Source organism: Homo sapiens, chromosome 4 (genome assembly GCF_000001405.40).
Source record: "Homo sapiens chromosome 4, GRCh38.p14 Primary Assembly".
In the NCBI taxonomy this organism is placed as follows: Eukaryota; Metazoa; Chordata; class Mammalia; order Primates; family Hominidae; genus Homo; species Homo sapiens.
In genome coordinates, this window is record NC_000004.12 from 56,696,318 (window position 1) to 56,711,619 (window position 15,302).

Below are 15,302 nucleotides of genomic sequence, written 5' to 3' on the forward strand. Positions count from 1 at the left end.
TCTCAGAATAAAACATTAATGCGGCCAACAAACATTAAAAAAAAGCTCAGGCCAGGCGCAGTGGCTCATGCCTGTAATCCCAGCACTTTGGAAGGCCGAGGCGGGTGGATCACGAGGTCAGGAGTTCAAGACCAGTCTGGCCAAGATGGTGAAACCCCGTCTCTACTAAAAATACAAAAATTAGCTGGGCACGGTGGCAGGCACCTGTCATCCCAGCTACTCAAGAGGCTGAGGCAGGAGAATCACTTGAACCCGAGGGAGGGGGGCTCAGAGGTTGCAGTGAGCCGAGATTGTGCCACTGCACTCCAGCCTGGGTGACAGAGCAAGACTCCGTCTCAAAAAAAAAAAAAAAAAAAAAAAAGCTCAACATCACTGATCATCAGAGAAATGCAAATCAAAACCAAAATGAGATACCATCTCATGCCAGTCAGAATGGCAATTATTAAAAAGTCAAGAAACTGCAGATGTTGGCAAAGTTGTGGAGAAAAAGGAACGTTTTTACACTGTTGGTGGGAATGTAAATTAGTTCAACCATGGTGAAAGACAGTGTGGCGATTCCTCAAAGATCTAGAAGCGGAAATACCATTTGACCCAGCAATCTTATTACTGCGCATATACCCAAAGGAATATAGATCATTCTATTATAAAGATACATATATTCATATATAAAGATGTATGTTCATTGCAACACTATTTACAATAGCAAAGGCATGGAATCAACCCAAATGTGCATCAACAATAGACTGGATAAAGAAAATGTGTTACATATACACCATGGAATACTATGCAGCCATAACAAGGAATCAGATCATGTCCTTTGCAGGGACATAGTTGGAGCTGGAAGCTGTTATCCTCAGCAAACTGACGCAGGAACAGAAAACCAAACACCACATGTTCTCACTTATAAGTGGGAGCTGAACAATGAGAACAGAGGGAGGGGAACAACACACACTGGGGCCTGTCGGGTGGAAGTTGGGAGAGGGAAAGCATCAGAAAGAATAGCTAATGGGTGCTGGGCTTAATAATACCTGAGTGATGGTTTGTTCTGTACAGCAAACCACCACGGCACACGTTTACCTATGTAAACTGCACATCCTGCACGTGTACCCTAGAACTTAAAACAAAAGTTTAAGGGGAAAAAAAGCTGCTGCCTGAGCCTCCAAAGTACCTTCCACAGCCACTTAACTCCACCCCTTGCCTGAGACCACTTCCTCATCCATCCTCCCAGGATCCAGTAACCAAAGAGGACCTAAAAGACCAGCTCCAGGCTATGACCAGTAGCCACTCTCACAGATCAGTGCTTCAGCCATTCTGATTGTTAAGTATATTATAACACTCCCCCTTAAAGGGAACTTTTTGCTATTTTTGCTTCCTGTTATTGCAAACAATAGCTTTGCTTATTGGTAAAAGTTCTGGGTAGTGGCAAAGAATACAGACCCTGAAGCTGGGCTGCTTGGATGCAGCCTGGTTCATCCTCACCTAGTTCCTGTGACTTTGGTGAGTTCTGTGTCTTCTGTATACCTCCTTTCTTTGTGCGCTGAAGGTGAGAGTGATATCCACCTTGCAGGACTGTTGAGAGGAGTAAACAAGTGAATCGATGTAAAGCAGTTAAAGCAGTACCTGTTTCAAGCACAGTGTGTTAGCCATTATGATTGAGCATCTACTTCGTGCCAGACGCAATACTAAATGATTTGAGTTTGTTATATAATTCGCAAGTACTCTATCAAGTAGGTATTGTCATCCCTAGTTTAAAGAGACTAAATCTCAGGGCAGTTGAGATGTGCTCAAGGTTACAGTGCCAGTGACGGATGGAGCAGATATAAATTCTACCTCTTTGACCCAAAGGCCATGCTTCCTCACTGCCCTAGGTTCTTCTCTGGTGGAAGTGGCACCTTGCAGCAAAGAAGAAAGAGGAGATGGCTGGCTGCTCACAGGTATCTGGTGACGGCTAGTAAGTGAAGATGCTCAGTGGAGACAGAGACCTCATGGAGGTGGGGTGGCAGATGGAGCTCCCCTTTACCTCTTCTGCTTCTATTTAGAATAAAATTCTCCCATCACCCAGGCTGAAAGCCTGGCAGTCATCCTGCCCCTCCCCCTCCTCACTCCCAGACGAAGTCACCAAGTGCCCCGGTTCTGCTCATGTGATGTCTCCTACCTTCCTGCCATTCCATCCATGCCTGTGCTAACACTCCACTTCAAGTTCTCATTACGTCATGTCTAGATCATTTCAAAAGCCTCTCAACTAGTCTCCCAGCCTCTGGGCCTCAGTCATCACTCCCAAAACCACCACATTATTCTTAAAGACACTGCTGCCATCATGTGATTTCACCATTCAAAACCTTCCAATGACTACTCAGTGTCTACCGAATACAGTGAAGCTTTTTAGACAGACATTCAAGCTCCTTCATTTAATTCTAATCTTCATTTCCAAATTGCTCTCTCTGGACTCCCGGTAAGAATCCTGTGATTTAGCCAGGATTATTTACCTGTTATTCCTTAATTGTGCTATTTCTTTCCCACCTCCAAGCCTTGCCCACTCCACTCCCTATGGCTGCACAGTGTCTTCCTGTCTTCTAAATCCTGTAGGTCCATCATGACCCAATTTGGCCCCATCCCTGCTTTGATACCTCCCCTGACCGCTCTGGGGGACTGGAACCTCTCAGTATCTAAGTGATACCGCTCACTTGGCACTTCACCTCCACTGCCTTATGTTATGAATTTGTTTTTTATTTGAATGTGCTCTGCTTTCTCAGTTACACTGTGAATGTCTTACAGCCAGAGGGGGAAGGAGATGATGGCAGGAGGGCTCTGACATGGGAAGGCTGTGGGACAGACTGGCGGGCAGGCTCTTGGGATCAGAAATCAGGCAAGCTGGGTTTGAATCACAGCTCTGCTCTAACTAGGCACTCTTTGCCAAGATACCTCATCTCTCAATGTTCTCATTCATACAATGGGGATAATGATTGTTCCTACCTCGAAGAGCTGTTGTGAGGATTAAATGAGTTAATACATGAAGAACCCTTGCCTAGAGCCCAGCACACAGATAAAGTTTAATTACTATTAGTTATCATTGTTTTCACTATCAGACAAGAAGAAAGGGTTTATGATATGCTAGACACCATATAAATGACCTTATTTAATTTATACAGCAACCTGATGAGGTAATAGGGCCATGCTCATTTTAGAGATGAGAAAACTGAAGTTTTGAGAAGTTTGATCACATGGCTAATAATTCAGCCTAAACTCAGCCCTCTCTGGGTCCAAAGACCATTGCTTTCCACAAAGTTAATCCACTAAGTTCCTGAGATTGGGGGAAATGGCTTGTACTTCTTTGTAATTCCTTCAGTATCTCATAGATTGCACAAAAAAATTGCTGCTGAATGGCTGGGAGATTTCTTAGAAGATCTCAGCAGCAAGTCCTTTATGCTGCTGTGGATCAAGATTGCTATCTGCCTACCACAATTTCCTTTCTCTCTCTCTAAATAATCCCAGTATTTAGCTGGGCACATAACTGCCTAAAACAGGGATCAGCCATTCTGTACAGACAGAGTCAAATTTCGGTTTTGTAGGCCATATGGTCTCATTAGAACACTCAGTTTTGGCATGGTACTGCAAAAGCAGCCATAGACAATATGTACATGAACAAGTGTGGCTGAATTCCCAAAACCTTTACTTACAAAAACAGATTTGTCCTGTGGACTGTAGTTTGCCGACCCTTCCCCTAGAGTGCAGACACACTGGCTGCCTCAAATTAAGATGTCCATGATGGTTAATTTTATGTGTCATCTTGGATGAACCACAGTGTGCCCAGATATTTGGGTAAACATTATTATGGGTCTTTCTGTGAGAGTACTTTTAGATGACACTAACATTTACATTGATGGACTTTGAGTAAAGCAGACTGTCCTCCATAATGTAGGTGAACCTCATCCAATCAGTTGAAAACCTGAATAGACCAAAAAGAAAAGAATAGATCATAAAGCCTGAATAAAATAGAATATTTTATTTTCCTCCCCTGAGGAGAGAATTCTCCAGCAGCCTGCCTTCAGACTTCATCTGCAGCACTGGCTGTTTCTTATTCTACAGAGGACTAGAACTAGGACACCAGCCTTTCCTGGGTCTCCAGCCTGCCTGTTCACCCTGCAGATTTTGGATTTGCTAACTTCTGTAATAATGTGAGCCAATTCCTTATCATCTTTATACACACACACACACACACACACACACACACACACACACACACACACATCCATTGGTTCTCTTTCTCTGGGGAAACCCTGACTAATACAATGCTATTTCCCAGCTGCCCTTGTGGCAAGATGTGTCCATGTGACTATGTTCTGGCCAACAGAATGTAAGTGGCAATGCTGTGTGATAACTTCCAAGAAATTTCCTTAAATGAGAGGAGGCATATGCTCTTTGGCCTGTCATCTCCCCTTCGCCCATCCTGCTGTTTGGAAGGCAGATGTGATGACTGAAGGGCTTCTGTGGACTGTGATACAGCCACAAAGCAGAACCCCAGAGCAGCCTAAGCTGCTTACACTGTCAGAGGCATTCTAACCAAAGTGACTCCATCTTTAATAGGGGCTGGGTAAAATGAAGATGAAACCTACTGGGCTGCATTCCCAGGAAGTTAGGCATTCTTAATCACAGGATGAAATGGGAGGTGAGCAGGGCTCCTGTCACAAGATACAGGTCACAAGGACCCTTCTGATAAAACAGAATGCGGTAAAGAAGCCAGCCAAAACCCACTAAAACCAAGATGGCTACAAAAGTGACCTCTGATGGTCCCCACTGCTCATTATATGCTAATTATAATGCATTAGCATGCTAAAAGACACTCCCACCAATGCCGTGACAGTTTACAAATACCAGGGCAACGTCTAGAAGTTTTCCTATATAGTCTAAAAAGGGGAAGAACCCTCAGTTCCGGAAATTGCCTGCCCCTTTTTGGGAAAACTCATGATTAAGTCACCTCTTGTTTAGCATGTGATCAAGAAATAACCATAAGAGTAGCCAACCAGCAGCCCTCAGGGCAGCTCTGTCTGTGGAGTAGCCATTATTTTGTTTCTTTACTTCTCTAATAAACTTGCTTTCACTTTACTTGGTGGATTCGCCCTGAATTGGTTCTTGTGCAAGATCCAAGAACCCACTCTTGGGGTCTGCATCAGGACCCCTTTCTGGTGACAATACCAGGACTTTTATATGAGCAAGAAATACAGCCCAGTCTTGTTTAAGCCATATTTAATGTTCCCATTGCAGCTTAACTTAATCCTAACAGGCACCATTCCTGTCAGTCTGGTGCTAGAAATAGCAGCACTTCTCTTTGGCGGCCATGAAGAAATTCATTTATAGTATTTTACAAAAATTATATTAAGAGAGAATAACCCAATTTAAATCTTTCCCACAATCAGCTGTCTCTTTAGAGTCAGCAGGAGGACATGAGATTGAGGCATGAGAGAGAGAGAGAGAGAGAAACAGAAATAGATTCTTTCTAAACGGATGGGGGAGGGGCAGAGCCAGACCAAACTCAGAGACTCTAGGCTGACACAACTGATAATACCCTGGGGACACTGAGGTGGGGGTTGGGTGTGGGGAGTGGTGAGGGGTTCACTGCTGGCACTGTTCTCATCAGGGAATGATGTAGCTGGCATCAGAAATGGATGTTTCCAGCTGTGTAGACCTTAAGCCCAGCCTCAGGTCAGAAATATGACTGGAGCTGACTATGGATGTTTTTTTGGTCATAATTCAGCCATCTGCATTAAATCATGACCTTGATCTATCCTTTGTGTATCTTCACCTTAAAAGTAAATAAAAGGGAAAAAGAAATATAGTAAGTAAGTGGTCAAATCAGTAGCCCAACACCTCTCACCCTACCTTCTTCTTACTTGCTGGAGTAGCTTATTCTTTCTATAGAGTTGAGAATTCTAGCTATTCACATTTTGAGCTCCCTTGAGGCTAGGACATAGATATAAGACTGATTTTGTCCAATTTACCTGCAAAATCTGCTGACTGTCTTATGAGAATTCCTTCTTCACTGGATGTGATCTTGTTACCATGTGATGCCTGGAACTGCCGCAGCCACCTTGTAAGTGTGAGGGAGACATGGCAGACATACTGAGGAATACAGAGTCAACAGATGGAAAATATCTGGATTCTTGATGACATCCCTGACCTTAAAATGTTGGACTGCATCCAGGCTTATTGCTATGTGAAATCATAAGTCTTTACTGTTTAACTATTTTTGTTTAGTTATTCTGTTACTTGTGGCCAAAAGCATCCTTACTGATCCAGTAGCCAAAAGCATTTTAGCATTCTAAGCTGTAACATCCTATCTTTACAGTCCACCTTAGTCCAAACAAATACTCACCCTTGTTAGCATGTTACTGCTCCATTTTCTGATTGGAAAGTATGCTCTATCCACTTACTGGAAGATGATGCAGCTAGGCCATCTGAGTTCGAAACCTGGCTTTACCTGTATGACCTGGGGAAATTATTTAACTACTCTGTGCCTCAGCTTCCTTATCCATTAAAAGGGAAAAACAATCATCCTACTTCATAGGATTGTACTGAGGATCAAAAGGATTGACACACATAAAGTACTTAGAACAGTGCCTAGCCCACATCATAATAATCAATAAGTACACACTAGCTTTATTATCATCCTCCCTAGGAGTACACCCTTCTGCAGGCTTCCAAGGCAATTTGCTGTCAAACTGTTCACCCACATTTTCCTTTGCCAAGCACTCCTGGGAATAGCTGAAATGTGAGACAGACATGGCCAATTCAAGTCTCTTGCTAGCCTGCATACCACCAGATTATCAGAAAAGAAGTTTGGCCATTGGAAAGTCTGGAAATACATCTAGAAACCAAAATTCCCTATACTCCCCAGATCCCCTACTTCTGCATGTCTGTCACCCCATGCGTGCTCTGAGATGCAGGTAACAAGGACCCCTCTGGGTTGGTTTCCCACAGGCCTCTGGGATGTGCCCTCCAATGAGACCTTAACCCTGAATGTGTCTCTCATACATCTACAGTCCTAGTGAATAGAAAGGAGAAACCTTACAGATCTGACATCACTATTACTTTTGACTTTAATACCTGCAGTTTCTCCCCCTCTTTAACTTTTTTGCTGGGCCAAGAATCTCTTCTAGTCTCCTCTTGAGACACCCGTTTTCTCATCATCCCAGTATTGTACATGCCTTGTCTGGCTGCCATCCCCCCGGGACAGCAGAGGCTGTTCAGCTCCTTACGTTTGCATTGCGCTTGTCAATCCAGGCCAGTTTTCAGCAAATGCCTCTGTATAGCTCATCTGTAGAGCCCTTGGCAGCTTCCAGAATATTTTAGCCCAAGTTATTTAATCTTCATAAAAATCTTGTATGGTGCATGTTTTTATTCCAAGCCAGGCTCTTCGGGGCTTTTTGCTTTCCTGTAGAGATCAGCAGCAAAAAGAGGTGAGACAAACATTTTTCATTTTCTTTCCTATACTGATCTAAGGTGCTAAGGACCTTGTCTGCAGTTACCTCAGCAGTGATTATTCTGGCAGAGAGAAAGCAAAGACCTCGCAGAAATCAACTGAAGTCTACCTGAAACTCGAGGACTTGGCTTCGGAAGGAAAAACAACAAACTGGTACTTCTCTGGATAAAAAGATCTGGTTCTGATGTCTAACTGGTGATCCTATCTAGAATCAAGTGACAGGGAGGAAGAAGGCTCTAGAAATTAGCTGACTTAAGTACTTCCTGATGTTAAATCTTTCGCCATTTCTATGAGTCCAAAGAAGCACAATATTTGGATCTCTTCAGATTAAATCTGCTCTGTTGATTTGTTCATCAGTGAGCCTCTCAAACATCTACATTGGCAACAACCTTCTCAGGACACGGCCCGTCTGAGAAGCTCTGGTGGGTGCGGGCTGGAAGGAGGAGCTGCAGGCCTCTGCATGTGGACTGGGACCAGACAGCTCTGCCACCTCAGTGTCTGTCGGCGCTGCCAGACTCACGGAAAAGTTCCTTTCATTTCTCACATTTTATTCAGTGCCAGCTTGGGAGGCCTGTAGAGGGTTCAGGGGCCCAGCTACTGTGCTAACCAGAGCACTATAAGTGACAAATGCTGTTTTTTCCTTTTTATCTCTTTCTTTCTGCCTTCCAGGAAGATTTAAACAACAATAACAACAACAACAACACCAAATAACTCACTTTTTACTTTCAAGCACACCCTGTTCCTTCACAAGAAAAAAAGCCCACAGAGCAACTCCATAAAGTCTCTATTCAGCACTCCTTGTTGGTTTTTGGCTCAGGGTTCAGCTAACTCATTCCCAGAGCACACAGCAGCAGGGGAGGTGGGGTTCACAGCAGAGAACAGTAAAAAGATCTCCAGATTTCCTGAGGATTCCAGAATGCACTGGAAAACCACTAGTGTTTCTGGATGAGTGGCATGGAGCACAGCAGTGACTTTATTACCTATTTCACCCCCTTAAATTGGAGCTTGCCCACATCAGGGCTGGCCAGCCACTCCAACCCATTCCTGCCTATACACATCCCCCGTCTGAAAGGGCTTCCTTGGGGGAAACTGGGCATCTTCCTTTGCCATCCCTTGAACAGGCTTTTGTAGGTGGCTTTTGCATTCGTGATTCCTACCTTAGAAGGAGATACCTAAGCCATCCTTCTGGCTGCTCGGGGCAAAAACTTTGGCATCATCCTGGACTCCACTTTCTCACATCCCACTTCCAATACACTAGCTTAGCCGGTCAGCTCCACATTCAAACTTATTCAGGATGTATCAGTCAGGGTTCAACCAGAGAAACTGAACCAGTAGGAGAGTCATATTAAGAGGAATTGCCCTACATATGTTACCAGTTGGGGGTGTCCAGGTTCTTGGCATCTTGAACGAAGAATTGGACAAAACACACAAACAAACCAAGGAAAGAATGAAGCAACAAAAGCAGAGATTTATAGAAAACAAAAGTACACTCCACAGGGTGGGAGCGGCTGAGCATAGGGGCTTAAGAGCCCGGTTACAGAATTTTCTGGGGTTTAAATACCATCTAGAGGTTTCCATTGGTTACTTGGTGTACGCCCTATGTAAATGAAGAGGCTAAAGTGAGGTTACAAAGTTATGTATTTGGTGTACATTCTATGTAAATGACGAGTGTAGTTCCTGTCATAGCTGAAGTGTTTCCATTTGATTTAGTTCTAGGAAGCCCTGAGGTTCCCTGCCTCCAGGCCCGATTCTCCTGCCTCACATAATCATGGGGCTGGTTAGGCCAGTGGGAAATCCATAGGGCACACCGTCAGAAAGAGCAGGTTGGAACTCCTGGGCATGAGCGGAATTGCCATCCACAGGCAGAATTTCTTCATCAGGGAACGCTCAGCTCTTCTAGGGCCTTTCAATGGATTGGATCAGGCCCACCTTCAATCTAGGATTATCTCCCTGGCTGAAAGTCAGTTGATGAGGGACTTTAATCATGTCCGTAAAATGTCTTCACAGCAACACCCAGATTAGTGTTTGACTGAATAACTGAGGACTGTAGCTTAGCCAACTTGACACCTAAAACCTATTGTCACCTTATCTAGCCTTGACTCTTCCAGAGTCACCCCCCACCTTGGTTGAAACTACCATTATTTGTCCCCTGAATTATCGTGTTAGCCTCTACACCAGCTTCCTGCTTCTTGCCCTATCCTCCCTGGCCTTCCTCCTCCCACTCCCAACTATTTTCAACAGAGCAACTAGACTGACACATTCTTGGCTGCAGAGTGAGCAGTTGCTCCATTGCTCAAAGCCCTTGTGGTGGACAGAATGATGGTTCCTCAAAGATGTTCACATCCTAATCCTTGGAACCTGTGAATATGTTACCTTACATAGCAAAGGGGACTTTGTACATGTGCTTAGGGTATGGACTTTGAGATGAGGAGAGTATCCTGGATTATCCAGGGGAGCCCAGTCTAATCACATGAATTGTCAGCAGTAGAAGAGGAAGACAGAAGAATGGGTCAGAGGAATGTGACATGAAAAGAGCCTGTCCCTCCATTGCAGGCTTTGAAAATGGAGGAAGGGAACCACCAGCCAACTACAAGGGAAAGGGGACCTCAGTTCTACAACTGCATGGCCCTAAAGTCTGTGAATAAACCTAATGAGCAGGAAACAGATTCCCATCTAAAGCTCCCAGTGAGGAAGCAGCCCTGTTAACAGCTTGATTTTAGCCTGGTGAGACCTGTGTTGGACTTCTGGTCTATAGAACTGTAAGATAACATATTTGTGGGTTTGTTTTGTTGTGTTTTGTTTTTTTGAGACAGAGTGTTGCTCTGTTGCCCAGGCTGGAGTGCAGTGGCTCAATCTCGGCTCACTGCAAACTCCACCTCCTGGGTTCAAGTGATTCTTCTGCCTCAGCCTCCTGAGTAGCTGAGATTACAGGCACCCACCACCACACCTGGCTAATTTTTGTATTTTTAGTACAGACGGGGTTTCACCATGTTGGTCAGGCTGGTCTCGAACTCCTGACCTCGTGATCTGCCCCCGTCGGCCTCCCAAAGTGCTGGATTACAGGCGTGAGCCACTGCGCCCAGCCTTGTGTTGCTTAAACCACTAAATTCATGGTAGTTTGTTATGGCAGCAAATGAATACAGCCCTTCAATGACTTCCCATCCTATTCAGAGTAAAAGCCAAGCTCCTCAGCATCTTCCCCTGCTCCTTTCTGACTTCATTTCCTACCACTCTCCCTAACTCACACCCTCACCCCTGCTCCACTCCCCTACTTCGGGTCCTGGGCCTGAACTAGAGTGAAGCTAGTGAGTACTTGCTTCAAGATGCCAAAACCTCAGTAGTCAAGATCAGTAATATTTTAATGCAACATCAAAATTAATGTGAAAAAAATCCATGATATACAAATCATAAAAATTTGAAAGAAAGACAAGATCCAACCCTGCACTTGCTCAACTCGCCTCTTCTGCCTCCCTCTAATTCCAAGCCTGATCCTTGCTGCTCTCAAACTTCCAGCCACACTCCAGTGGCAGCGCTTTTCCGGTTGGTTTTGCCCCAGATATCTGCAAATCTTCCTCCCTCACCTGCTTGGGTTTTTGCTCAAATGTTGCCTTCTTAATTAGTCCTCCCTGGCCATTTATTTAAAATCTCAGAGTGCCCTCATGTATTAGTCCGTTCTCATGCTGCTATAAAGAACTACTTAAGACTGGGTAATTTATGAAGAAATTATCAAGGTTTAATTGATTCACAGTTCAGCATGGCTAGGGAGGCTTCGGGAAACTTACAATCACTGTGGAAGGGGAAGCAAATGTGTCCTTCTTCACATGGCAACAGCAGGAGAAGTGCCAAGCAAAAAAGGAAAAGCCCCTTATAAAACCATCATATTTCATGAGAACTCACTCACTATCATGAGAACAGCATGGGGGTAACTGCCCCCATGATTCAATTACCTCCCACTGGGTCCCTCCCGTGACACTTGAGGATTATGGGTGAGGATTCAAGATGAGATTTGGGTGGGGATGTGGCCAAGCCATATCACCCCACCAGCACTCCCGGACCCCTTCTTGCTTCGTATTTCCCCAAAGTACTTAACATATCTAACATATTTATTTAGTACTTTTTGTTCACTGCTGTACACTAGGACATAACAGTGTGTGGCATGCAGTAGGTGTTCAATAAGTATTTGTTGTAGGAATGAAGGAAAGGAGGAAGGGAAGAAGGAAAGGAGAAGGAAGAGAGGAAGAAGGGAAAGTAAGGGAGGGAGGCCTCTGCCAATGGGGCAACAGAGCATATGTATGCAAGCAAGGGAGAACTTTCCCACTGGCTTATTGAAGCTGAAAATCCCTGAAGAGCTGCAGTAAATTTCAGTCTGTCTGTTTAAGAAAACATTAATTTATAATAGCAGGGTTATTTTTTCTTCTCCCAAAAGGGAAAATGCCATCAAGAGCCAGTGTGTTCTATTAGATTAATTAGCAGATTTGGATTAGCTATGTGCTTTCTTTTCTAGGAAATTAGCTAAATTGTTTCCACTGAAGCTGGAAATGTTTGACCTCCTGGCAGTTTGTCCAAAATCCTTTGAAGTAGAGTATCTGCAACTCTGCGTTTAATAATGCTTGGAGATTTTATTCTCTTCTAGTTCTCCCTCAACAATTAAAAATTCCATTCTGATGATCTCATCCCTTTAATTTTTCTTTTTTCTTTCTTTTTTTTTTAGATGGAGTCTCTCTCTGTCACCCAGGCTGGAGTGCAGTGGCGCAATCTTGGCTGACTGCAACCTCCACCTCCTGGGTTCAAGCAATTCTCCTGCCTCAGCCTCCTGAGTAGTTGGGATCACAGACATCCACCACACCTGGCTAATTTTTGTGTTTTTAGTAGAGACCGGGATTTACCATGTTTTACCATGTTGGCCAGGCTGGTCTTGAACTCTTGACCTCAGGTGATCCACCCACCTCGGCCTCCCAAAGTGCTAGGATTACAGGGGTGAGTCCCCATGCCTGGCCACCTCCCTTTAATTTTTTATGAGTGGATTCCAACAAAGCTATTGTTAAAAATCTGTGGAAATTTGTACCATAGATAAATAGAATTTTCTGTGGTAATAGCAAGAAACATTGTAATAGATATATTTTAGTATAGATTGGGATGGAAAATAGGCCCAAGTGTTACCAGAATTCATTGACTAACACCCATGTGATGCAGGGGTTGACTTGAATACATGAGTTGGAATGTAAGCAGAGTGAAGTTCAGGTGCATACTAAATTATGTGGATTGTGAGCCAGGGTGGCCAATGTGGGCATGTGCAGGGCAATGAAGCAGTGGAGCCAGGTTAGGAGAGAGAAAGGAGCGGTGCAGAGGGAGGAGGAGTTGGGGGAGGGAGAGAAACTCAGAGAAGAACATGAGAGAATAGCCTCCTGTTCTTAGAGGAGGAAGAAATATGATGAAATGAAACAGCAACTGTAGTAGGAGTTAGAAAAACTGGAGCCAAACCTGGAAAATCTTTGGGTTAAATCTATGCTTGGCTCCTTACTCACTGTGCCCCCTTGTCCAAGACACTTTACTTCTCTGATCCTTGATTCCCTGAAAAATTTGTAGTACTGTTTGGGGAGGCTAACAGTGACACTGACAATGATGCTGTGGCATGATGAGCCCAGGGTGGTAGTGTAGGAAAGAGGAAAGCTGATCCAGCCGGGCCATCTGAACTGTGTATGAATGAGCTCAACTCTCGGCTCATGGTTGGTGCCTACTTTTGCAATTTGACAAATAAAAAAAAGATTGCCATCATGCAGATGATTATAGTCCTTTTGCAGATGCATATTATGTATGGAACAATCACAAATCACAGTGCACACACATTTTGTGGGTCACTTTTTCAGATAATATTATATTGTTGGCATTTTTATTGTTTGTAATTGCCCTTGTAAAGATTTTAACTGCACTCTGTGTGTGTGAGAATGTGTGCGTGTGTGTGTGAACCCCCAGAATATAGTGGCTATTGAGTCAGGATCTGGGTTTGAATTTTAACTCCACCACTTACTGTCTTGCTGTCTGACACTCAACATCACCTATGCCTCATATTCCTCACAGAAAATAACAGAACTTGCTTCAAAGGACAACTGAGATAACTAAAGGCAGTAATGCATGCCAAGAACAGAGGATAGTGTTTGGTAGAAGCCCTCAATAAAATATTGGCTCTTATTATTACGAAGTTTTACAGTTTGTAATAATTTTAACACGCTCTCTTTCCCTAAGTGGCCTGAGATAATCTGTGAAAATGGTTCGCTATTCATGTGACCTGGAGAACCCCACAAAATCATGCAAATCAAGAGGTTCCAGTCTTCGTGTTCACCTTAAGAACACTCGTGAAACTACCGAGGTCATCAAGGGTATGCGTATATGAAAAGCCACGAAGTATCTGAAAGATATCACTTTACAGAAACAGTGCGTACCATTCTGATGTTACAATGGTGGAGTTAGCAGGTGTGTCCAGGCCACGCAGTGGGGCTGGACACAAGGTCAGTGGCCCCCAAAGAGTGCTGAATTTTTGTTGCACATGCTTAAAAATGCAGAGAGTAATGCTGAACTCAAGGGTTTAGATGTAGATTCTCTGGTCATTGAGTATAACCGAGTAAACAAAGCACCTAAGATGCGCCCCTGGACCTACAGAGCTCATGGTTGGATTAACCCATACATGAGCTCCCCCTGCCACACAGAGAAGATCCTTACTGAAAATGAACAGGTTGTTCCTAGACCAGAAAAGGAGGCTACCCAGAAGAAAAAGATATCCCAGAAGAAACTGAAGAAACAAAAACTTATGGCACAGGAGTAAATTCAGCATTAAAATAAATGCAATTAAAAGGACTAATAATAATAATAATAATATGAACACTACAGAAATGGGAAAATTCTCCATAATTTCATCCACGCCACTCAAGATCCTCACTACAACTGTTTGGTGTGTATTTCTCCTCTCCCCCTACCTCCCCACTTTTATTTTTATACATTTACTAGCCCATTATATTATTATTTTCTTTTCTTTTTTAACCACAAACCAAACAACAACAGAAGAATATTATATATACCACCTTTAAGTTGTTATTTTCATGGCAATGTTTATAGATTTAAACCTTTCTTTTCAGAGGTTGCATGAAATTTCATTCCACATATTGATGACAGCAGCAGCCCATCTGGAGCCGCTGCTGCAAAGACACTGGCTGCAGCTGGGGAGACGTGGCTGGGGCTGTTCACTCCGCAGAGGTGATGGGAGCTGGGAACAGGCAGGAGCCCCACCCCCTTTTGAGTTGGTGGGGCGGGAGACCCACACTCCCAGGCACAAATGCAGCCGCCCAGCTGTGGCTGTGGACCAGGACGTCCCTGTGCTCTTGGGGGCCTGGGAAGCCCCCCTGCCCCCCAGACTCAGAAGTGCCTGCTCCCACTGCCTGGCCTCTCCCCACTCCTGGGACCCACTCCAATTCTGGAGCAAAGTTGTGGCCAAGCCTACATGCAGTCAAGATCCAACTGGGTGCGTGTATGCTTGGGGCAGTACTAACGCGCCAGCCCTCTGCCACCCCAGTCCCCTCTGGACTTTGGGCACCAAAGAGCATGGGAGGGAGGCCAAGGTGAGGGCTGAAGGTGGCTCAGCTCAGGCCTGCAGGCACCCCTTGGCATGAACAGCCTGAGTGCCATGAGCAACAGCAGGAGGCAGACAGGCTCCTGGGCAGAAAAGGGTGGGTCCCCATTGAAACCCCACCTTCAAGGCAGGGATGGCCAGAAGCCTAGGGGCTGGGCTGCCAGTTCCACGGACCCAAGTGAAAACTTACGGTGTTTTTTTCCT

At 44.5% G+C, this 15,302-nt stretch overlaps 1 long non-coding RNA gene and 1 pseudogene across 6 annotated transcripts; one reads left to right on the plus strand and one right to left on the minus strand.

Moving 5' to 3' along the window:
- Nucleotides 1–370: 370 nt before the first annotated feature.
- CHAER1 (cardiac hypertrophy associated epigenetic regulator 1) lies at nucleotides 371–8,303 on the minus strand. 6 transcript variants are annotated; one of them, XR_001741702.3, is made up of 5 exons: nucleotides 7,867–8,102; nucleotides 7,254–7,429; nucleotides 5,997–6,085; nucleotides 3,871–3,946; nucleotides 371–1,569 (listed from the first exon to the last, which is right to left on the minus strand). It is a non-coding gene; the product is annotated as a cardiac hypertrophy associated epigenetic regulator 1 (long non-coding RNA). The 6 variants fall into 6 exon arrangements; XR_001741703.1 differs by lacking the exon at nucleotides 7,867–8,102 and adding an exon at nucleotides 8,194–8,303 and having other exon boundaries at nucleotides 900–1,569; XR_001741701.2 differs by lacking the exon at nucleotides 7,867–8,102 and adding an exon at nucleotides 7,587–7,663 and having other exon boundaries at nucleotides 900–1,569.
- On the plus strand, nucleotides 13,723–14,329 carry RPL17P20 (ribosomal protein L17 pseudogene 20; annotated as a pseudogene).